Source organism: Homo sapiens, chromosome 10 (genome assembly GCF_000001405.40).
Source record: "Homo sapiens chromosome 10, GRCh38.p14 Primary Assembly".
Lineage (NCBI taxonomy): Eukaryota > Metazoa > Chordata > Mammalia > Primates > Hominidae > Homo > Homo sapiens.
The window spans coordinates 943918-969012 of record NC_000010.11 but is presented as its reverse complement, the minus strand read 5'-3'; the positions used below and the strand labels follow the sequence as shown (position 1 = coordinate 969012).

General features: G+C 49.4%; 1 protein-coding gene across 3 annotated transcripts in view; it reads left to right on the top strand.

Annotated features, from left to right (window-relative positions):
* The window catches only part of LARP4B (La ribonucleoprotein 4B), a 181428-nt gene that overhangs the window by 19329 nt on the left and 137004 nt on the right, over positions 1 to 25095 (top strand). For all 3 annotated transcript variants that reach the window (XM_047424897.1, XM_047424894.1, XM_047424893.1), the window contains exon 2: positions 10115 to 10368. The gene's annotated coding sequence lies outside the window, so the exon portion shown is untranslated. The remainder of the gene's footprint in view (positions 1 to 10114; positions 10369 to 25095) is intronic.

Here is a 25095-nt window from a genome sequence, read left to right as displayed (position 1 = left end):
ACACGGAAGATGTGTTCTACCGACTCCGAAGGTCACAGGGCTTGGAGAATAGCTGTTGTTCCGGGGAATGCACAATGAATAAAGCATAAGATCATAACAGCTTTCTCCACAGACACAGCATCCTGTGATTTATATTGCATTTGCAGTTAGATAGAACTGCCTATTCTCTTTCTAGCCCTTTCCCCAGGATGTGCTTGCTGTCGCGCAGGAAGCCATCATACGCGAAGGCGCTCACGCCCACAGCTACCAGACTCTGAAGAAGATGGCATTTCCTCCCGATGTTGCCATCACTTCATTCCGTCAGCCAAGTTCTTCTTTGTGGCTCAAGGAATGTTCGCTCTTTGAGATACCATCAACAAAGCACGTGAAATTGTCAGAGGCTGAGCTTTCAGGAAAATCCTATTGACAACAGCCAAGTGGGAGTCAGTCTCCGTCCTCAGTGACCTGTCTTTGTTCCTTAGATTAGAGGACCCTCATTCACATCTTCTTTCTGCGGCGATAGTCAAGATGCTCACATGGGGTAAAACCCTATCAATTTAGGCTAATTGGAGGGAAGGCCGTGGAATGAGGGAAAAGTCAAGTGTATTCAGTAACCAAAAAATATGCTAATAAAGGGTTGCTAAGTAGAAAAACATTCTTTGGAAACTATCTCTAAGAACTATTTTAATTATCACACAAACTGCTTGTATGGTGCATTTATAAAGTTTGACCTCAGTTTGTTCTTAAGCAGCATTACTTGCTGGGAAAGCCTTTTTATCAGCTCAACGCCACACTCCAACTTGAGCTCAGTATGGTTAGTACAAATTACCAATTACCAGGTTTCATGTTAATGAGGTTTTCATGCCATAAGGATTATAGGGTCTTGGAGACAGAAGGAATCTTAGTGGGAATTGAATCCAATCTTTTATCCATTTCTAGAAGCCTCTGCTTGACTATTTCCTGAGCCAGAACCACACATATGAGGGGATAACACAGTCCATCAAAAACACTGCTCTAGAACATAGAAAACAGGGCCGGGCGCGGTGGCTCCTGCCTGTAATCCCAGCACTTTGGGAGGCTGAGGCGGGCGGATCGCCTGAGGTCGGGAGTTCGAGACCAGCCTGGCCAACATGTTGAAACCCTGTTTCTACTAAAAACACAAAAAATTAATGGGGCATGGTGGCACACGCCTGTAATCCCAGCTACTTGGAAGGCTGAAGCAGGAGAATTGCTTGAGCCCAGGAGGCGGAGGTTGCAGTGAGCCGAGATCATGGCTGGGTGAGGAAGCTTAATGAAGATGGTGTGCCCACGGAATTCCCGGCATTCCTCCCTCTGTTGCCCCCTGAAGTCCGGGGTTGCCTCCGCCTGGCCCAGTGTCAGGCTGGCTTCCGATTCTCTCCGCAGCAAGGGCTGAGCCTCCTCCTTCCTAGAGTTCTGCGATTTCGTGGCATGCTTTGTGGGTCTTGTCCATTCTTTGCTTAGGCTGGAACTCGTTTCTTTTAAATGTTTTAGCTCCTCACTGAACCAAAAATGTATCTTTATTCTTTTATTTTTCATCTCTTTGTCTTGTGGTTTCACCTTCTGAGAGTTTTTAAAGATTTTATCTTCCAACCTTTCTTTTGCGGTTGGCATTTTTGCTCTCATAGTTTAATTTTTTTGCACAAGCTTTTGTTTCCTTTCATACGTTCCTTTTTAAGGTGTTCTGTTCTTGTTTCATGGGTTCAATGTCTACTTCTCTCTCTAAGGATGTAAATTCTAGCATTTTTATTCCTTGAAGTGTCCTCCCTGCGCTGCGCCCATTTCCTCCGAATAGCTTTCCGTTTGTCCTGTTTGTGTGTGAACTTGACCGTGGATGCTTTCCCCAGGAGTCTGAAGATTTGGGGCTGTCCACCCAGCAAGTCAGGCACTACCAGGCTGACTGCAGCTCTGTGTGTGGCCACATTGTTCCGTGATCCCGGGGGAGGCCTCATCGGAGACCCCTTCCTGTTAGGATCTTTGTGGCTTTCCAAGTGGATGAATGAGATCCCTCAAAGGAAAGGGTTCGAACGCCTTGTCTTGGAGACGATAATCCTTTGGCTGCCAGTGTTCTGAGAGCCAAGTGGGGAAGAGGGGGTGGCCTCAGACTCAAACCATCCCAGGAGCGATATCTCTCTGTGTGGTCCAGAGAACACACCTTCTCCAGGCATCAGCCACAGTGGGGGTGAGGGGGTGGCCTCAGACTCAAACCATCCCAGGAGAAACCTACCTCTCTCTGTGTGGTCCAGAGAACACACCTTCTCCAGGCGTCAGCCACAGTGGGGGTCACTCACCTTCTGTGAGAGGTGGAGGAGCAGGCTTCTTGCCCTGTCTCCCGCAAGCCTTTTATTTCAGGCCTGCCTTCGCCCGACACCCATGGGTGCTGACACTCCCGTTCTGTGCCTCTCGGGTTTGAGCTGCAAATGTGCTTGCCTGCAGCTCCACCAGCCTTCGGCTTCCTCGGTAGGATGTGCGGACACTGCTGACCCAGCTCCCACGGCTCCTCTTCTGTTCCTTTTGTCCTCAAAGGCTTGTGCCACATTCTTCTTTCCTCCTGTTTATCGAGACAGGGTCTGGCTCTGTCAACGAGGCTGGAGTGCAGTGGTGCGATCATGGCTCACTGCAGCCTCAAACTCCTGGGCTCAAGTGATCCTCCCACCTCAGCCTCCTAAGTAGTTGGGACTACAGGTGTGCGCCACCATGCCCAGCTATTTTTTAAAATTTTTTATAGAGATGGGGTCTCACTATGTTAGCCAGGCTGGTCTTGAACTCCTGGCCTCAATCAATCCTCCTGCCTTGGCCTCCCGATGTGCTGGAATCACAGATGTGAGCCACCACACCCAGCCTCCTTCTTCTTTTTCTCCTTCTCTATCTTCCTTGCCTCTACTGTCTTTTTAGAGAGATTTTTAGATAGAAACAAAATAAAATCTCATACACACACACACACACACACACACACACAAAACCCACACATACAAGAACCCACTGTGTATTCAATTCATCTACACGTAAGTCCCTTTCTGCTTTTTCAAACAACGTTATGCTCCAAACAGGGATAAATTAAAATAATGAGTGAGTCCACCATGAGGCCTCTCTCTCCTAAACAGCAAAGCCACTGCCGGGAAGGGGCCTGAGCTCTGTTTCCATGGCTGCTTCCTTTGCTTGTTTGACATAAATCGGTTGATGATTCTAAACCAAAATGTCACTTGTTTATTGCTCATGTTAAGCAGCAGACATAACTCTCTCCCAGAAGGCAGGCATCTCCCAGTGTGTGACATTGCCATGTTTTCTTCACAGCGCCGGGTCTTGGTATCTAGTAGGTGCCAGTTAACAAATGTTTGAACGACTTGGCGCATAAACAACCGTTTCATCGATTATGTAACTAATCAGCACCTGGTTAGTGCAGAAATGCCTGTAAATGGCATGTTTCCTTTCTTCCTTAGTTTGTTTCTGCTTATATACAAATATCTGTCAGTTGCTAATTCTTCCATCGCGTCTGCTGCGTTCTTGGTGTCTCCGACCAGACTGTAAGCTGCTTGAAAATACGGATCGCCTTCGAATTGTGTAACCGAGAAACGGGGGGGAGCGGGCACCGTGTCTTTGAGATGACCCAGGAGCCGCACAGAGGTGGGGAAATGAGGGCAGAGAAACCAGCCCAGGCCTTGGGGGCCTCAGAGTCCAGGCAGGACCTGGGTTTCTGATTGTGCCTCGGAAGTGAATCAGCACCACCGCCTTCTGTCCTTGGGACGTTCCGCTGAGCACCACCGTGGGAGACGCCGACAGCCGAGCGGGGCCCTCAGCCCGGCCTTGCCCCACGGGCACTCCCAGCAGGACAGACACAGACACACGGCTGGAAGGACCCATTCTCCCAAGGAAACTGGCACTGTGTGGACCACAGGCAGGCGGGTGCTGAGCCGCGAGGACCTAGCAGGTCCCCCGTCCACTCCCGGCCTGACCCTGCATGGCTCCCAGGCAGCCCTCTCGGGCCTCAGCGTGCAAGGCAGCCCTGGGTGGAGGCCCCACCTGGGGTCATTCATCACAGCCTGTGCATCTACACTGAGTGTGTGTCAGTGTTCCATAAGCCTCACTCCCAGGGCTCCTGGTGGGGCCTGGCCCCACAGTAGGTGTTTATCTTGTCCACCGCCTCAGAGCTGTGCTGTTCTGTGCTGTCCTGAGCTGTCTACGCCCATGACAAACACACAGCTGGTGAGGTCCCTCTCTCCCCGCAGCCCCGGCACCCCACAGTCAGCACAGTCCTGGCCACTGTCGCCTTTTCATCACAAACACCCTCATTAGTTAGCGGGGCCAACAGCGTTATCTTCAGAGGGGTCAGGAAACCCGGTGTTACTCTGGGCTTAGGCTTGGACCCTGCGTTTTGTGGCCCATGACCTTTAACATCGACGTGGCCTCTGACGTCTGACATGTCCATTGAGCCAGACCTCTGCTAACTTCAGCACATTCCAGTTTTTATGAAGCCCAAATTGATCATCTGCTGCAACAGCGTTTGACATCCTGGTTTCAGGTTCCTTCGTCTATCCTTGGCCCTAATCCACAGATTTCTGGGGACTGTGCCCTAGCCCACAGGAAAAAAAAAAACAGATATAACTAATGTTACTAAAATATTACTAAAACCATATTTCAAAAAATGAATCTGGGCTGGGCATGGTGACCCACGCCTGTAATCCCAGCACTCTGGGAGGCCGAGGCGGGCAGATCACGAGGTCGGGAGTTCGAGACCAGCCTGGCCAACATGGTGAAACCCCATCTCTACTAAAAATACAAAAATTAGCCAGGCGTGGTGGCGGGCGCCTGTAATCACAGCTACATGGGAGGCTGAGGCAGGAGAATCATCTGAACCTGGGAGGCAGAGATTACAGTGAGCAGAGATCACGCCACTGCACTCTAGCCTGGGCAACAGAGCGAGACTCTGTCTCAAAAATATAAATAAAAAGATTTGGATCACCCTCAACTCACAGCCAGGTTTATAAATGGGGGCATCTACATTTTTAGGCCTTAGAACTTGTTTATGGAACTTACCACATTCTCCCTGCTATGGTTTGAATGTGTCCCCCAAAAATACATGTTGGAAACTTCATCCCCAAGGCAACAGCACTGAGAGGTGGGGCCATATGGGGGTTGTTTGAGTCACAAGGGCTCCACCCTCACGAAGGGCTTAATGCTGATGCAACTTTGAGCCTGTGCTCTCTCTTGCCGTGTGACTGACACCTTCCACCATGTCATGACACGTCAAGAAGGACCCTCGATCTTGGACTTCCCAGCCTCTGGAACCATGAGCCAAATAAACATTGACTATTTCTTAATTACCCAGCCTGTGGTGTTCTGCTATTGTGTTGCAAAATGGACTCAGACACTCCCTTACATTGTCACTGAAGGCATCTTTTCCCCTTTATTAGGTTGAATTTGTAAACTCCTGGAAGATGGGGACCATAACCCATTCATCTTTCTATTTCCCACACTTCTGTTTAGACACCAGAGGAATTATGACATTTTAATATATCCAAAAGCCCCCAGGAGAACACGCAAATGCCCAGCCCTGTGCTGATCATTCAGATTCTGCACGTTGGAGGCAGGGCCCCAGCTCCCCAAGCCATGTGCAATGGCTGGTCCTCAGAGCACATGTCAAGGAATAGCAGCGTGGTGGATAAGAAGCACGTGGTGAAAATGAACCAAGAAAGAAGATGATGGGGTGAGAAAGATCCACGGTCACTCACTTGTGAAGTCAGGGTGTCTCTGGAACTCAAGCTTCATGAACTTGACATGCTTCTGTCTTCCTACCCCATTTTAAACATATGGTTAAAAATAGCAGGTCACTGTGGTGATCCTGGGGTGGGGGAGGACCAAGGCCTGGACTACCATGGTATGTGGGGTGCAGAGAGCAGGCACCTGGCCACAGGCTGGAGGAAGGAGAAGGAGAAAGGAAATGGCAAGTCTGGGAAACGCTACTGCTGCACAGTTTAGTGCAAGCTTAGAGTGGAGAGCAACATCCAGCTACCACCTCAGCTTCTGTAGGTCAGAATTCTGTGCACGTGAAGCTCAGCCCTCTGCCCAGGGTCTCGGGAGGCTGCGTCCGGAGTTCAGGTGGTCTCATCTGGAGTTCAGGTGGTCTCCTCTGGAGTGAGTTCCGGTGGTCTTCCGAGCTCACTGAGGCTACGGCAGAAGTCAGACCCTGTGGTTGTCTGAGGGAGGTCCCTGGCTTTGGCTGGCTGTTGGCCAGTGGGAGTTCAAAGCTTAGGTCTCTGCATTCTTCCTTGAGGCCAGCCAGAGGAAAATTTTGCTTTTCAAGAGCTTACCTGATTGGGTCAGGCCTACTTGATATTATTTTTCTTTTGATTAACTGAGTCAACTGGCTTGGGACCTTGATTCCGTCTATAAATCCCTTTTGCCACATGACATTGCATAATCACAGGATTTGTATCACACCAAGCTAACAGGTTTGTCCCACACATGACAGGAGGAGGGTCACTGAGTACAGTCATCTCTGTGTCAAGGAAGCCAAATTCTTATTTTAAGCCTTGACCTCTCCCTTGCACTCTTACGGACTGAGTTGTGTGTCCCCAAATTTACATGTTGAAGTCCTAACCCCCCATGTGACTGCATTTGCAGACAGGGCCTATATGAGGGTAATAAGGTTAAATGAAGTCATATTGTTGGGCCCGAACCCAAAAGGATTGGTATTCTTTTTTTTTTTTTTTTTTTTTTGGAGATGGAGTTTCACTCTTGTTGCCCAGGCTGGAGTCCCAATGGTGTGATCTTGGCTCACTGCAACCTCTGCCTCCTGGGTTCAAGTGATTCTCCTGCCTCAGCCTCCCAAATAGCTGGAATTACAGGCATGAGCTACCACACCTGGCTAATTTTTTTTGTATTTTTAGCAGAGATGGGGTTTCGCCACGTTGGCCAGGCTGGTCTCGAACTCCCGACCTCAGGTGATCCACCGGCCTTGGCCTCCCAAAGTGCTGGGATTACAGGTGTGAGCCACCATGTCCGGCCTAGGATTGGTATTCTTATAAGAAGAGGAGATTGGGACACACAAGTGCACAGAGGGAAGATGAAAGGAAGACACAGGGAGAAGTTGCCTGCTATGGTTTGGATATTTGTCTCCCCAAACCTCATGTTGAAATATGATCCCCAGTGTTGGAGGTGGGGCCCAGTGGGAGGTGTTCAGGTTATGCCCCTGGATCCCTCATGAGTGGCTGGTGCTGTCCTGGCAGGAATGAGAGAGTTCTTGCTCTATGAGTTCCCCCAAGAGCTCATTGTTAAAAAGAGCCTGGTGCCTGCCCCCTCTCTCTCGTCTCCTCTCTGGCCACATCATCTCTGTACAAGCAGCTCCTCTTCACCTTCTGCCATGAGTGGACCTTCCCGAGGCCTCATCAGAAGCAGATGCTGGCACCACGCCGCCATGAGTGGACCTTCCCGAGGCCTCCCCAGAAGCAGATGCTGGCACCACGCCGCCATGAGTGGACCTTCCCGAGGCCTCACCAGAAGCAGATGCTGGCACCACGCTGCCATGAGTGGACCTTCCCGAGGCCTCCCCAGAAGCAGATGCTGGCACCACGCTGCCATGAGTGGACCTTCCCGAGGCCTCACCAGAAGCAGATGCTGGCACCACGCCGCCATGAGTGGACCTTCCCGAGGCCTCACCTGAAGCAGATGCTAGTACCATGCTTCTTGTACAGCCCGCAGAACCGTGAGCCAAATAAACCTCCTTTCTTTATGAATTACCCAGCCTCAGGTGTGCCTTTATAGCAACACGAATGGACTAAGACAACAGCCATCAACGAGCCAAGAAGAAATATGAGTTTCTGACCTACGTCATTTTCCTTCTCTGAAGAACTTCTTTTAACATTTCTTGCAAGGCAGATCTACTGACAACAAATCCCCTCAGGTAATTTCACTGGACACAGAACTTAGGTAGGTGGTTTTGTCTTCCCACACTCCAGCAGGCATCAGTGGCAGTTTGGCGTTCCTACTGGTGCTGGATCCACACGGGGCTTCCGCTCCTGCTGTGCTCCTCTGTGTTCTGCCTCTCTGGGGCTTTGGGCAGTGATTTTTCCCTATGCCTCGATTCTGTGGCAGACCAAAGAAAAGGTGTTGATTTTCACATTGTTGTGCTTTTTTCTTGTTCTGAGAATATAAATGATGACATCCCAGCTCCTTACATGCCAGAGTGGAGTCCTCAATGCTCTAAGGGGTCCCTGAAATTAACCGTGTTAATTACATAATTAATTCATCAATCATTTGGTAATGACCCTCTCTTCCATTCTTTTTTTTTTTTTTTTTTTTTTTTTTTTTTGAGACAGAGTCTCACTCTGTTGCCCTGGCTGGAGTGCAGTGGCATGATCTTGGCTCACTGCAACCTCCACCTCCCAGGTTCAAGTGATTCTCCTGCCTCAGCCTCCCGAGTAGCTGAGATTACAGGTGTGCTACCACACCCAGCTAATTTTTTTTATATTTTTAGTAGAGATGGGGTTTCACCACGTTGGACAAGCTGGTCTCAAACTCCTGACCTCAAATGATCCACCCTCCTTGGCCTCCCAAAGTGCTGGGATTACAGGAGTGAGCCACCATACCCAGCGCCTCCCACCATACCCAGCGCCTCCCTCCCGTTCTTAGTCCGCAGTTTACACTGGGGGTCAGTCTTGCTGTTGTACATCCTATGGGTTTGGACAAATGTATGATGACATGGATTCACCACTGCAGTATCCTACAGAATCATTTTACTGGCCTAGTAATCCTCTGTGCTCCCCCTCTCATCCCTCCCCCTCTGTCAACCCCTGGCAATCACTCATCTTATTACTGATCTTATTATCCCCAGTTCCGCCTTTTCCAAAACGTTCTGTCGTTGGACTCGTAGAGAATGTGGCCTTTTCAGATTGGCTTCTTCCGCTTAGTGACATGCATTCAAGGTTCCTCCATGCCTTTTCATGGCTTGATCGCTCATTCTTTCTATTGTTGAACAATCTTGTTTCCAACAACTGCAAGACATTTCACAATGAAGAATGCCCATGTGTGGGTGATTCATGAGGGGACACGAGGAGGTGGGATTGACGAGGAGGTGGGATTGACGAGGAGGTGGGATTGAGGAGGAGGTGGGATTGAGGAGGAGGTGGATTGACGAGGAGGTGGATTGACGAGGAGGTGGATTGACGAGGAGGTGGGAATGACGAGGAGGTGGGAATGACGAGGAGGTGGGAATGACGAGGAGGTGGGAATGACGAGGAGGTGGGAATGACGGGGAGGTGGATTGACGGGGAGGTGGATTGACGGGGAGGTGGGATTGACGGGGAGGTGGATTGACGGGGAGGTGGGATTGACGGGGAGGTGGATTGACGGGGAGGTGGATTGACGGGGAGGTGGATTGACGGGGAGGTGGGATTGACGGGGAGGTGGATTGACGGGGAGGTGGATTGACGGGGGGGAGGTGGGATTGACGGGGAGGTGGATTGACGGGGAGGTGGGATTGACGGGGAGGTGGATTGACGGGGAGGTGGATTGACGGGGAGGTGGATTGACGGGGAGGTGGTTGACGGGGAGGTGGATTGATGGGGAGGTGGATTGATGGGGAGGTGGATTGACGGGGAGGTGGATTGATGGGGAGGTGGATTGATGAGGAGGTGGGATTGATGAGGAGGTGGGATTGACGGGGAGGTGGGATTGATGAGGAGGTGGGATTGCTGAACCAGCAGGAATGCCTGCTTTACACCTTTCACCAACAAATGCTGCCAAATTTCCCTTCCCAGCAGTTGCATCACTAGGGGAGAATACGCATATTTCCACACCCCTGCAGCCCAGTACATCTCACATTTTCAGGAATAAATTTTCCAAACTTCTCTGAAGGTGTCCTGGGACCACAAACTCTATATCCAAACTCAGCCAGCACCCACTGTCAACCACACCTAGTCCACCTGCCCTGCCCTGCCATCTCCAGGGACTCGGCAACCACCAGCCCAGGGCCGTTGCCTGTGGGGACCTCAGGCGGAGCGTCCTTCCTCTGCCCAGAGACTCCACTCTTCCAAATGCCACTCCATCCTGGCTGAAGTTGCTCCTCCTGGGCTCTTTGTCCTTCTGGTCTAATGCGTTTTGTTTCTTTCTGTTCTTTCAGAATTAATGTTTCATGTTCAACCTGAAGTCTCTGATAAGTACTTTAAGTCCAAGCTGGCATAGTGGGTGATGTGGGCAGCAGGCCTGTGACTCCACGTGGACCCCCATGAACGTTGTCAGTGTGTCTACGCGAAGCTGTACCATTTACAGGAGAAACACTGGGTGGTGAGACTTGGATGAGGTCAGCAGAGAAAGCGGCTAAACGGATTCACCCGTCCCTTCAGGTGACTGTGGAGCTATGAAGACCTGAGGCAGGTACTTTTGTGCTAACAAAGAAGGATGTTTATGACATAATTTTAGGGGAAGATATAAATCAGAGGTGTGGGGTGTGCAGAGGCCCCTGCCTTCCCTGGTGGGTGGATAACACCTGCACCAACATCCCCAGCAAGGCTACACAGGTGCTTTTCTTGGCAGCCATCAAGAGAAAGGGACCTGCCTTAGGCTGCAGGATGCTTAAACATTTCAAAGGTCCCTTGAAGAAAGGAGAAGAACATCAGGAGAGGTAGTGGTGCGTGCCAAGGCACTGAGCGTGAGGAACAAGGTGCTTTCACGGGGTGTCTGCGCCCAGGTGCAGCCGGTGTCCCTGGGCCTGACAGTGGTCAGATAGTCAGGTCCCAGAAGAGGCAGGTTTGCAAGCACCCAGCTAAGCCAGGGAGCAGCTGACCAGCAAGACAGGTCAGCTCTCAGGGACCCTTCAGCCCAAGGGCTGCGGGGAGCACCGGGTGGATGTTGAGCAAATCCAAGTGACAACCCAGTGGGCACTTTAGGAACATACCACAGTTACGCGGAGGAAATCAATCGGAGGCCAGGCATCGTGGCTCACGCCTGTAATCCCAGCACTCTGGGAGGCTGAGGCAGATGGACTGTTTGAGCCCAGGAGTTTGAGACCAGTCTGGGCAACATGGCGAAACCCCATCTCTACAAACAACGCAAAAATCAGCCAGGCGTGGTGGTGCACACTTGTGGTCCCAGCTACTGAGGAGGCTGAGGAGGGAGGAGGGCTTGAACCAGGGAGGCAGAGGTTGCAGTGAACCAAGACCACACCACTGCACTCCAGCCTGGGCAATAGAGCCAGACCCAGAAAAAAAAAAAAAAAAAAGAAAGAAAATGAATTGAAAAGGGTAAGATTACAGGCAAGAATATTTTATAAAATCTCTAAGCGTGATTCAAAAGGCCAAAATCATACCCCGCAAAGCTTAGATTTAACCTTATAAAATTTTTATTATATTTGAGTGTCATAAGAACACAATTAAGGATACATATAACCCAAAAAATAATCCCATCACATATTAAAAAGCATTTATATTTTTGGTATACAAAGTCTAACAATAAAATAAGAACACCAGCTCCAAAATCGACAAATAAGCAATTCATATAAGTATCTAAAAACATTCATCATCAATCCCAAAATTGCCAATAGAGTAATGAACTACAGGCTGGATATGGTGGCTTACCCCTGTAATCCCAGCACTTTGGGAGGCCGAGGTGGGTGGATCACTTGAGGTCAGGAGTTTGAGACCAGCCTGACCAACATAGTGAAACCCTGTCTCTACTAAAAACAAAACAAAAATCAGCCGAGTGTGATGGCACACGTCTGTAATCCCAGCTACTCGGGAGGCTGAGGCAGGATAATCGCTTGAACCCCAGAGGTGCAGGTTGCAGTGAGCTGAGATTGTGCCACTGCACTCCAGCCTGGGTGACACAGCAAAGACCTTGTTTCAAAAATAAAAATAAAAGTAAAAAAATAAGAGGGTTCAGGAGAAGGACCAGATTCCCCGGAAGGAAGAGCTTGCACTCTCCCATCACAAAAGTGCTTCTGAACAGTGAGCAGGGCTGCTGGTTTGGGATTTGAGGCTTTGCTGTTTTCCCATTTGGAGTTCATTCCCATCACAGAATGACAGGATGTAAAGGAGCAAACTGTTCACCGCGTCTCAGGCTCCAGACGAGGCCTTGGAGATGTCAAGCTCTTCTTCAGTGTCTGCCTACATCCTATCTCATGCGTCACCTTCCTGGCCCAAATTAAGAGCTCCTGCAGTGTCTTTACCCTTCTCCTGACCCCCCAGGCCTAGCTCCAAGCCACATACCTTGGGCCTGGAGGGACTTTCCTCTCGGCTACAGGCCATGGCTCTAGCAACAGGTGTGGGAGCCCTGGATCCTGTAGCCCACAGCCCACCCTCCAGGGAGCAGTCCAGTCGGAAACTGCTTAGTGCTTGTCTTTTAGGCTGATTGGAATCCTAAATTAAAGAATTTTTGGGCCGGGCACAGTGGCTGTAATCCCAGCACTTTGGGATACCGAGGATACCGAGGCGGGCGGATCACGAGGTCAGGAGATCGAGACCATCCTGGCTAACACGGTGAAACTCCATCTCTACTAAAAATACAAAAAATTAGCTGGGCGTGGTGGCGGGCGCCTGTAGTCCCAGCTACTAGGGAGGCTGAGGCAGGAGAATGGCGTGAACCCGGGAGGCAGACCTTGCAGTGAGCCGAGATCGCGCCACTGCACTCCAGCCTGGGGGACACAGTGAGACTCTGTCTCAAAAAAAAGAAAAAAAAAAAGAATTTCTGAGTGAGACAACACTGCTTGAACCCCTTAGACGCAGGTGTACTCCTGGGCCCATAGTCAGGGGCTCATACGTACTCCCATAACGTAACTGTGTAGTTTGTGGTGTCCGTCCAGCTCCAAGCTGCCGTCACGCTCAGCTGTAGGGGTTGGCTTGGGTATAATTTGATGGAATCTGTCAGGGTTCGTGGAGTCATTGCCATCTGAGTCAGCTCCCAGAGCCGCTGTGCAAAGAAGGTGCCCATTTGGTGGATTAGCCGGAAACCTGGCAGGAGCCTCCTGTCCTGCAGATCCTGTGTCCCCACCTCTGTGGGGCACCTGGCAGGCACTGGGGCAGGAAGTGGGAGCCTCAAACTGCAGGGGCCAGGGTGGGAGGGAAGGACGCTCAGCCAGTGGGGAACAGTGGCCTCAGGCGGGCGTGAGAGGGGAAACAGTCGCCTCAGGTGGGAGTGAGAGGAGGAACTCAAGGCCAGGTTTCCAAATGGCCTCACACAGTTTCCTTTCTGCCAGGATTTTCAAAGGATTAGAGTTCTTTTTTTTTTAATTAACAGTGCAGTTTCAAGTTATTCCAGTGAATAGGGCAGTCCTTACTTTGTTTATTTCCTGCTACAACTCAACTTAAAGCAGAAAGAACACTAAGCTCTCCAGATTTTGAAGTCAGGCAGCCCGGAAAAGCTCTTTAATAACCATGGTGTTAGCAAACGTAAACTCCCCGTCCTGGGCAACAGGTGGAGACACGTGTGGAGGGGCCGTGGAGGGTCTTATTGAAGAGGCAAAGGCCCGAGTTGAAGGTCTGAGTGTTAGGAGCGAGGACATGCTCCAATCAGCAGCATTTTGGAGGTTTATCAATTACTGGCACCAAAACCACAGAACAGGGAGTCATCTCAGGAAGCACAGAAGTGCCAGAAACCCTTCTAATCCCTTGGGGACTAGGGACAAGGAAGAACGACCTGGCAGTGTACTCAGGCACCTGCCTAAGCTGCCACCCCATAGCCTGCCTGGCGCCTGTGGTGTGGGCCCCCCACGGGCTGCAGTCCTGGCTGGGTCGAGGGGGCAGGGGCAGACTGAAGTGAGGCAGGGGTGGGGCCCTCAGTTCAGAAGTCGGGGTGTTACCTCCACCACCTCAGAAGCCCCCTGGGGTGAAGAGGGAGGGAATGTGAGCCTACTGTTGGGAGGAGTGTCAGAGCTGCCCGAGAGTGTGGCTGTGGGATGGGAGCTGTCCTGGGGAAGCGTGGATGGGAGCTGTCCTGGGGAAGGGTGGATGGGAGCTGTCCTGGGGAAGCGTGGATGGGAGCTGTCCTGGGGAAGCGTGGATGGGAGCTGTCCTGGGGAAGCGTGGATGGGAGCTGTCCTGGGGAAGCGTGGATGGGAGCTGTCCTGGGGAAGGGTGGATGGGAGCTGTCCTGGGGAAGCGTGGATGGGAGCTGTCCTGGGGAAGCGTGGATGGGAGCTGTCCTGGGGAAGCGTGGATGGGAGCTGTCCTGGGGAAGCGTGGATGGGAGCTGTCCTGGGGAAGCGTGGATGGGAGCTGTCCTGGGGAAGCGTGGATGGGAGCTGTCCTGGGGAAGCGTGGATGGGAGCTGTCCTGGGAAGTGCGGGGAGGAGACATCTGCCATGCATGTGTCGCACCAGCAGTGAGCGAATGCGCCCGGCCGGTACCCTGAAGGACTCCGCTGCCACTCACGGCCGCACCCCCAGACCCACGGGTCCCATTTAGGTTCTGTGGCCTCTCGGTCCCGTGACTCCACGCAGCAGCTGTGTCCTCCTCCCGACCTCAGGCAGCCAAGGCCATGTCCCGACTCCCATTCCACGGGGCCCAACTTTTCGCACCTCTTCTCTGAGCCACCGGTCTGAATGAGCCCAGCTACCCTCCCTGGCTCTGCCTCACACCCCCGTCTTTCCATCACATTCACCACTGCCGCAGATGTCCTTATCACACACTTCTTTCCTACTGGTTGTTTAGAGCCCCCTTTTCGTCCGCGTCCACATGTAGGAGGCCTGGAGCAGGAGCCCTTCCCCAGCCGGGCTGGTGGACACAGGCTACCATAAAAGACGGGCTGGTGGACACAGGCCACCATAAAAGACGGGCTGGTGGACACAGGCCACCATAAAAGACAGGCCTTTGGCTGAAGCTGTAGGTGGTCTCGACTTTGCAGCTCAAAGTGCAGCAGATGGCGCAAAAACTAATGAGCATGTTCCCAAGGCCACGGAGATCCAGCCTGCGTGCCTCGGACTTCCTAGGCTGCCCAGCTGCTGGTGTGAGCAAGGGTGCAGCCCTCCCGGCCAATGTCACACACAGACAGGACTCCAGGATAAACCCATGTGGCTCTGCCTGGCAGGCCTGGCCTCCGCCTTGCACCTTGCCTTCCCCTTGCTCCGAATCAGCAAACGCCTCCAGGCTGAAGCGAGCTCCCGTCTTTCCTTGGAGCTTGCTCAGGGATTCTTCATGTCCTGTTAGTCCTCTGATGTTTTCCAGAAGACTTTGAATGCTGCCTCTTCAGTGGTCTCCAGAGGGCTGGACTGCCTAGCCTACACATCCTGAGGCAGAAGCCTTACAACCGGCGTCTCTTCATGCTTCTAGCGCATCCTAGGAGACATCTTCCAGCAAATCCTGCCAATTACACACTGGGGCCCATTCTGTTATGCACTTGGTTCTGGGCTGCTGCAATTTCTTCCTTTTAAAGGTTGTCTGTTATGCAGTTGGTTCTGGGCTGGTGCGATTTCTTCCTTTTAAAGGTTGCCTGTTATGCAGTTGGTTCTGGACTGGTGCGATTTCTTCCTTTTAAAGGTTGTCTGTTATGCAGTTGGTTCTGGACTGGTGCGATTTCTTCCTTTTAAAGGTTGTCTGTTATGCAGTTGGTTCTGGGCTGGTGCGATTTCTTCCTTTTAAAGGTTGTCTGTTATGCAGTTGGTTCTGGGCTGGTGCGATTTCTTCCTTTTAAAGGTTGTCTGTTATGCAGTTGGTTCTGGGCTGGTGCGATTTCTTCCTTTTAAAGGTTGTCTGTTATGCAGTTGGTTCTGGGCTGGTGCGATTTCTTCCTTTTAAAGGTTGTCTGTTATGCAGTTGGTTCTGGGCTGGTGCGATTTCTTCCTTTTAAAGGTTGTCTGTTATGCAGTTGGTTGTGGGCTGGTGCGATTTCTTCCTTTTAAAGGTTGTCTGTTATGCAGTTGGTTGTGGGCTGGTGCGATTTCTTCCTTTTAAAGGTTGTCTGTTATGCAGTTGGTTGTGGGCTGGTGCGATTTCTTCCTTTTAAAGGTTGTCTGTTATGCAGTTGGTTCTGGGCTGGTGCGATTTCTTCCTTTTAAAGGTTGTCTGTTATGCAGTTGGTTCTGGGCTGGTGCGATTTCTTCCTTTTAAAGGTTGTCTGTTATGCAGTTGGTTCTGGGCTGGTGCGATTTCTTCCTTTTAAAGGTTGTCTGTTATGCAGTTGGTTCTGGGCTGGTGCGATTTCTTCCTTTTAAAGGTTGTCTGTTATGCAGTTGGTTCTGGGCTGGTGCGATTTCTTCCTTTTAAAGGTTGTCTGTTATGCAGTTGGTTCTGGGCTGGTGCGATTTCTTCCTTTTAAAGGTTGTCTGTTATGCAGTTGGTTGTGGGCTGGTGCGATTTCTTCCTTTTAAAGGTTGTCTGTTATGCAGTTGGTTCTGGGCTGGTGCGATTTCTTCCTTTTAAAGGTTGTCTGTTATGCAGTTGGTTCTGGGCTGGTGCGATTTCTTCCTTTTAAAGGTTGTCTGTTATGCAGTTGGTTCTGGGCTGGTGCGATTTCTTCCTTTTAAAGGTTGTCTTTTATGCAGTTGGTTCTGGGCTGGTGCGATTTCTTCCTTTTAAAGGTTGTCTGTTATGCAGTTGGTTGTGGGCTGGTGCGATTTCTTCCTTTTAAAGGTTGTCTGTTATGCAGTTGGGTCTGGGCTGGTGCGATTTCTTCCTTTTAAAGGTTGTCTGTTATGCAGTTGGTTCTGGACTGCTGCGATTTCTTCCTTTTTTTTTTTTTTTTTTTTTTTTGAGATGGAGTCTCGCTCTGTCACCCAGGCTGGAGTGCAGCATCTTGATCTCAGCTCACTGCAAGCTCCACCTCCCAGGTTCATGCCATTTTCCTGCCTCAGCCTCCCAAGTAGCTGGGACTACAGGTGCCCGCCACCAAGCCCGGCTAATTTTTTTTTTATTTTTAGTACAGATGGGGTTTCACCGTGTTAGCCAGGATGGTCTTGATCTCCTGACCTTGTGATCCACCCACTTTGGCCTCCCAAAGTGCTGGGATTATAGGCGTGAGCCACTGCACCAGGCCGATTTCTTCCTTTTAAAGTTTGTATGTTATGCAGTTGATTCTGGGCTGGTGCGATTTCTTCCTTTTAAAGGTTGTATGTTATGCAGTTGGTTCTGGGCTGCTGCGATTTCTTCCTTTTAAAGGTTGTATGTTATGCAGTTGGTTCTGGGCTGCTGCGATTTCTTCCTTTTAAAGGTTGTATGTTATGCAGTTGGTTCTGGGCTGCTGCGATTTCTTCCTTTTAAAGGTTGTATGTTATGCAGTTGGTTCTGGGCTGGTGTGATTTCTTCGTTTTAAAGGTTGTCTGTTATGCAGTTGATTCTGGGCTGGTGCAATTTCTTCCTCTTAAAGGTTGTATGTTAAACTCCCTGGAGCTCTATCTGTGGCTCCTAGTGGCAGCCTCTTCTCGTCCTGGGATGCAACATCACCCTGGATGTCCCTGAAGTCACCACTTGGTCTCCTGTTTGAAGTTCCTGGCAAAGTGGACATTGTTTTTAATTCAGCCATCTCTGCAGAGTGGACTTTTTTTTTTTAGACAGAGTCTGGCTCTGTCACCCAGGCTGGAGTGCAGTGGCGCGATCTCGGCTCATTGCAACCTCTACCTCATGGGTTCAAGCGGTTCTAGTTGCCTCAGCCTCTCGAGTTGGGATTACAGGCACCCACCACCATGCCCAGCTAAGTTTTGTATTTTAGTAGAGACGGGGTTTCACCATATTGGCCAGGCTGGTCTCGAACTCCTGACCTCAGGTGATCCACCTGCCTCAGCCTCCCAAAGTGCTGGGATTACAGGCATGAGCCACGGCACCCGGCCTAAAAAACTGTTAAAAAATAGAAATAAAGGGAAGCTTCCTCAACTTAATAAAGAACATCTATAAAACACCTGCAGCTAACAGGATACTTAATGGAAAAGACTGAAGCTCCCAGCCTAAGATCAGGAACAAGGCAAGGATGCCTGTTATCACCACTGTATTCAACATGGTGCTAGCAGTCCTAGCTATTGCAATAAGGCAAAAACAGAAAATAAAGGGAAAAGAAGAAAGAGAGAGAGACTGAGAGAGAGAGAGAAGGAAGGGAGAGAGAGACTGAGAGAGAAGGAAGGCAGACAGGCAGGCGGGAAGGACGGAAAGAAGCTGTCCCCTATTTGCAGATGACATGATTGTCCACAGAGAAAATCCCAAGGAATCTCAAAAAAAAAAACCCTCCTACAACTAACAAGTGAGTTCATCAGGATCACAGGATACATGACAAACATACAAAATTCAATAATATTTCCATATACTAGTAATGAATACAAAGATACCAAAATGAATAATACAATATTATTTACAGTCACTCAAAAAAATACTTAGGTATAAATCTAAGACATGTACAGGATCTATATGCTGAAAACTACAAAATGCCAGTGAAAGAAATCAAAGAAAGCCTAAATAAAGAGAGAGACGCAGGGTGTTCATCGATTGGAAGACTCATTATAGCAAAAATATCATTTTTCCCAAAATGATATATAGATTTAATGCAATTCCTATTGAAATGCCAGCAAATGTCATGCAGACATAGAGAAGATTTTTCTAAAATCTCTATGTACAGACAAAGGAATGAGAGTAGCTAAAGCAATTTTGAAAAGGAATAAAGTGATGGACTCAATCTACCTGATTTCAAAATGGATCACAGACTTAAATGTAAAATGCAAAACTATCAACCTTTTAGAAAATAAACAGAGAAAATCTTTGGGATTGAAGACTAAGAAATGATTTCTTACCAGCATGATAATATATAAGATTGCTTACCAGCATCACAATATATAAAAGGAAAAATAGAAAAATTGGACTTCACAAAAAATAAAAACTTTTGCTCCGCAAAAGGCTATGTTAAGAAGATGAAAAGACAAGCTACAAACTGAGAGAAAATATTCTGAATATATTCAGACTACATATCCAACACAGATTAGTGCCTCAAATATACAAAGAACTCTCAAAACTCAACGGTTAAAAAAAAAAGCTAAGGCCAGGCACAGTGGCTCACGCCTGTAATCCAAGCACTGTGGAAGGCCAAGGAGGGTGGATTGCTTGAGCCCAGGAGGTCAAGACCAGCGTGGGCAACATGGCAAAACCTCAACTATACAGAAAAAACAAACATTAGCTGGGCGTGGTGGCACGCACCTGTAGTCCCAGCTACCTGGAAGGCTGAGGCTGCAGAGAGCTGTTATCGCACCACTGCACTGCAGCCTCGACAATACAGTGAAACCCTGTGTCAAAAAAAGAAAAAAAAAGTGCAGTCCAGTTAGAAAAATCAGCAAAAGACAGGAAAAAACATTTCACCAAAGAGGATACGAATGGCAAATAAGCACAAGAAGAGATGTCCGAGAGAATGACACCGAACATAGTGGGCCCTTAGGGAAATGCAAATTAAAACAACAACAAGACAGCCCTGCACATCTATCCACATGGCTGAAAATAACAGAGTGATGCAGCGGCACGTGGGTGAGGACGGGGAGAGCAGATCACTCACCCGGGGCTGGTGGGATGTAAGATGGTACAGCTGCCTGGAAAACGGGTTGGAGGTCACTCACCTGGGGCTCGTGGGATGTAAGATGGTACAGCTGCCTGGAAAACAGGTTGGAGATCACTCATGTGGGACTGGTGGGATGTAAGATGGTACAGCCACCTGGAAAACAACTTGGAGATCACTCACTCACACGGGGCTGGTGGGATGTAAGATGGTACAGCCGCCTGGAAAACGGGTTGGAGATCACTCACTCACGCGGGGCTGGTGGGATGTAAGATGGTACAGCTGCCTGGAAAACGGGTTGGAGATCACTCACTCACGCGGGGCTGGTGGGATGTAAGATGGTACAGCTGCCTGGAAAACGGGTTGGAGATCACTCACTCACGTGGGGCTGGTGGGATGTTAGATGGTAGAGCCGCCTGGGAAATGGGTTGGAGATCATTCACTCACTCGGGGCTGGTGGGATGTAAGATGGTACAGCCACCTGGAAAACGGGTTGGCAGTTTCTTAACAAACTAAACATGCAACCACTGTCGGACCTGGCAACTTCGGGCCAGGGTGTTCATCCCGGAGAAAACGAAGACTGACGTTCACATGACAACTGGTACACAGCTGTTCGTAGTAGCTTTATTCATCATGGTCAAAAACTGGAAGCTACCGAGATGGCCTTGAACCGGTGTGTGGTTAAGCAGACGACATAACCCACACTATGGAGTATACTCTGCAGTGAAAAGGAACGAGCTATGGGCACACACACCACGGCCTGAACAAACCTTCAGAGTGGCCCTGGTGAAGGGAGTCCAGACCAAAAGGTGGTACACCATGAGATTCCATTTATAGAACATTCTTGAAATGATCCAAGTACAGCAATGGAGGCCTTACCAGGGCTGAGAAGGAGGCAGGGATGGGAGGGAAGTTCTGTGGCTTTAAAGGGAGCAGAAGGTCCTGTGGGGGTGGACGTCTGTGCCTGGGCCACAAGTCAGGATCCTGATATTGTCCCCCAGTTGTGCAAGACGCGACCACTGAGGCCGGGCGCGGGGGCTCACGCCTGTAATCCCGGCACTTGGGAGGCCCAGGTGGGTGGATCACCTAAGGTCAGGAGTTCGAGACCTGCCTGACCAACATGGAGAAACCCTGTCTCTACTAAAAATGCCAAAAATTAGTCAGTTGTGGTGGTGGGCACCTGTAATCCCAGCTACTTGGGAGGCTAAGGCAGGAGAATCGCTTGAACCTTTGAGGCGGAGGTTGCAGGGAGCCGAGATCAGGTCACTGTACTCCAGATACAATACACAAGACCTCTCTGTATTATTCCTTACAAATGCATATGAAGCTACAATTATCTCAAAATTAACAGTTTAATTTTAAAAACCAGGCAGCGTGGCTTTGTATTTGGAGCTTGGTCTTTGACCGTGTGTGAGCTGAATGAATGCATGCCTTGGGCCCCATCAGCAGGGAGCAGCGCAGGAATCTCGGTGGTGGGTGGTGGGCGGTGGGCAGTCGGCGCAGCTCCAGGCAGGAGGACCTCACTCTTGGGGGTCTCCCGTGCTGCCCTCCTCAGGTCTCAGGTCCACTATCACACTGCCAGCAGTTTCAGCGTGGTAAGTTTTCAGCCACTTTTGTTTGATTTGTTAATTTAAAAAACATTTCATTGGCCGGGTGCAGTGGCTCATGCCTGTAATCCCAGCACTTTTGGAGGCCGAGGTGGGCAGATCACCTGAGGTCAGAAGTTCGAGACCAGCCTGACCAACATGGAGAAACCCTGTCTCTACTAAAATACAAAAACATGAGCCGGGCGTGGTGGCGCATCCCTGTAATCCCAGCTACTTGGGAGGCTGAGGCAGGAGAATTGCTTGAACCTGGGAGGCGGAGGTTGCGGTGAGCCGAGATTGCGCCCTTGCACTCCAGCCTGGGCAACAAAAGTGAAACTCTGTCTCAAAAAACAAAACAAAACAAAAAACTCATTTCATTAAGGTCATGATTTGGGAGTTTTTACATTTAAAGAAGAAACCAGTATTCCTCAGTCAATCAAGAAAATCGGAGACTCCTCAGCCTCCTCCTTCCAGGGCCACAGAACATTTTGTTCTGTCGTAGCAGGCTGTCACTTCTTTCGTCCTTTCTGGGACTGCGTGGTGTGTTCTGACTGCCTGGGACGGGGTTGTGATGGCCTCAGAATATGTGGGTCACTCAATGGCCATCCTGCCCCCGAGAGCCACAGCATATTTGCCGTTTGTCTTGCTGAATGGAACTGTGCCTTATATCTTCCATGCCTGAAAGAAGCAGAACAGAACTCTGTTTGTTTGTTGGCAAGAACCGGCAAGACACGCAGATGATGAAACGCTGCCTTGCTTCCTTGTCAGTCTGAAATAGGTTTACTTCTGGAGACTGGCAGATAAAAGTGCTTCCGGCTGGGCATAGTGGCTCACGCCTGTAATCCCAGCACTTTGGGAGACTGAGGTGGGTGGATCAACTGAGGTCAGTAGCTCAAGACCAGCATGATCAACATGGTGAAAACTTGTCTCTACTAAAAATATAAAAATTAGCCTGATGTGGTGGCATGCACCTGTAATCCCAGCTACTCGGGAGGTTAAGGCATGAGAAATCGCTTGAACCCAGGAGGTGGAGGTTGCAACGAGCCAAAATTGCGCCACTGAATTCCAGCCTGAGCAACAGAGCAAGACTCTGTCTCAAAAGGAAAAAAAAATGGTGTTTCAGAGTCAAAAGTATGGAAGTTCTCATGGCCAGGCACCTTTGACTTAAGTTCTCATCACTGAATGTTTTCCACAAAGAGGGAGGGTGGCAAGGAAGAGGAGGGAGGTGAACTTGTAAGATAAAAAAAATTGATATAACTGCTCTGTTCAGTCACAGAATAGTTTCTAGTTCAGTATTTCATTCAACAAATGGAAGGAACAAGCCCCAAGGAGGTTAAATAACTTGCCAAAATTTAGAGAGAGAGAGGGGTCCCCCAACCCCGGTCATGTTACCACACTGAATTACAAGACAAAGTTTAAAGGAAAGGCCTATTCCCTAACCCTATGAGATTCTTTCATAACTGGAGAAACAGAAACTGCCACTCTAACCAACCTAAAAGTGAATCAGGAAAGTAACTTGCTTACCTTTCTACATCCTTTTGGATAAATGTCACTTTAAAAATCACAATTATCCCTAATCAGACAATTTAAGAATCTTTGTATTTTCGCTTTAGAGGCAGCTGATGTAATTGGCATAGAAACTTCAGCTCCTAGAAAGTTTCCCACAGAAGGAAAGGGGTGTAAAGGCCTCCCCAGAAATTTTCAGACAGAATGCAAAATGTTTAAAAGGTCATTTTTATGTTTGCTAGTGGATTTTCAGTATTCTGTGATGTGGTATCAACCAAAAAACGATAAATGTGAAGAAGTGGCAGCAAATGATATCCATAGAGAGACCTTTTTTCCGGGATTTATCCTGTTGTAATTGAGTTTTTCCTGGCTGTAAGTTGACTTCAATTCAAGATGTAAAGAAGGCTCATAGACACACCGCTGCATGGGGTACAAGTCTACTCCGCTGGCCGTAACAAAACACCACAGGCTGGGCTTACATTCTTGCAGCTCTGGAGTCTGAGACCAGGGGGCCATCAAGGCTGTTCCTGCTGAGGGCCTCTCCCTGGCAGGCAGATGGCAGCTTCTCGCAGTGTCTTCCCATGACAGAGGGCTCTGCTGTCTCTTCTTATAAGGACACAACCTCATTGGATCAGGGCCCCACCCTTACGAACTTAACTAACTATAAATACTTCCTTATTTGAAAGAGAGCCATGGTGGGGGTTAAGGCATCAACATGAATTTGTGGAGGGACACATACATTCAGTTCCTAACACATAGTAATGCTAAAATGTCTTTTTTTTTTTTTTCTGAGACGGAGTCTCGCTCTGTTGCCCAGGCTGGAGTGCAGTGGCGTGATCCTGGCTCACTGCAAGCTCCGCCTCCCGGGTTCACCCCATTCTCCTGCCCCAGCCTCCCGAGTAGCTGGGACTACAGGCGCCCGCCACCATGCCCGGCTAATTTTTTTTGTATTTTTAGTAGAGACGGGGTTTCACCATATTAGCCAGGATGGTCTCGATCTCCTGACCTTGTGATCCACCCGCCTTGGCCTCCCAAAGTGCTGGGATTACAGGTGTGAGCCACCATGCCTGGACCATGTCTTTTTTTTTTTTTTTGAGACAGAGTCTCACTCTGTCACCCAGGCTGGAGGGCAGTGGTGTGATCTCCGTTCACTGCAACCTCTGCCTTCTGGGTTCAAGTGATTCTCATGCCTCAGCCTCCTGAATAGCTGGGATTACAGGTGCCTATCATAATGCCCAGCTAATTTTTGTATTTTTAGTAGAGACGAGGTTTCACCATGTTGGCCAGGCTGGTCTCGAACTCCTGACCTCAAGTGATCCACCTGCCTTGACCTCCCAAAGTGCTGAGATTACAGGGGTGAGCCACCATGCCCAGCCTTAAAAATGTCTTTATTTTTAAAAATACATTTATAAAATATGAATTATAAACGTGGTTACAATCTATGCTTATATTTTTTGTAATACGTAAAAAATTGGAAACATTTTAAAATCCATAAACACAAGTATCAACAAGCACTTCTTGAATTCCAAATTGCTAACATTTGTTAAAGACTATCAGCAATTTACTGGCCACTAATTCTAAGTACGACTTGGACTGTAATGCACTCCTGAGATTCACAGTGTCAGAGAATCGCCTTTAGACGCCGACTTGAGCCAACCATTTAGGGACTGGATTTAATTAGAAATCAAAGAACACCAGAAACAGAAACTAGAACTTAGGGCCAGGACTTCAAGATGGGAAACAGGAACTCAAAGCTGAAGGCAGCAGGAAAAGTGAGTCACGGGCAGACACCAAGGCAGGGCGGGGGCAACGCCCAGACACGCGTGGGGCTGACAGCAGATGCCCACAGCTGGAGTTTGCCCTGGCACTGGCGCTGGCAGGAAAGGAGTGCTGTTTCCCCAGCGCTGGCTGAGTGGCAGGCACATAGGCTATGCTGTTTCTTCATACCTACAGCAGCATTGCAACGCGAGGTCAGTCCCCATGCAGATGGGGAAGCAGAGACTTGGGGGTGACAGGGCAGGGGCGAGCTGGGGGTTGACATGCAAACCCAAATCTGCCAGCTCCAAGATCCCCCCTCCAACCTCTTCTGGGAGCCATATCCCAGGCTGATGATGTTGAATGATGTCCAGGTTCTCCCTGTGGTGAAAACCAACTAACTACCTTCCCAGGAAACAGGTTTCACCAGCCAGGCCTTGAATGCAATTGTCTTACTAGGAATATTTGGACTTCCCCACCTACCATTCAGGTAACTTGATACAAACACAGCCACTGTTCGGAGGTTGGTAGCAGGTGAATGTTGAAGTTTTAGTCCTCGGCTACACCGTGACAAGTATGTAAATAATTTATGCAGCCAATGTTCAGTACTTTACCACGAATTCTAAAGAAACAGACAAGTCTGACCTCAAAATTCAAGGTGTCTTTGGTTCATTTCTTCCTAATTCCCTTTGTTATGCACCAGTAAGACCGCTTTTTCTTTTTGAATCATGCTATTCATGTTCTTCCGTATTTTCTGCAGCCCTGTAGGGCTGTAAGGCACCCATCCCGCTGAGGCTGCAGTGAG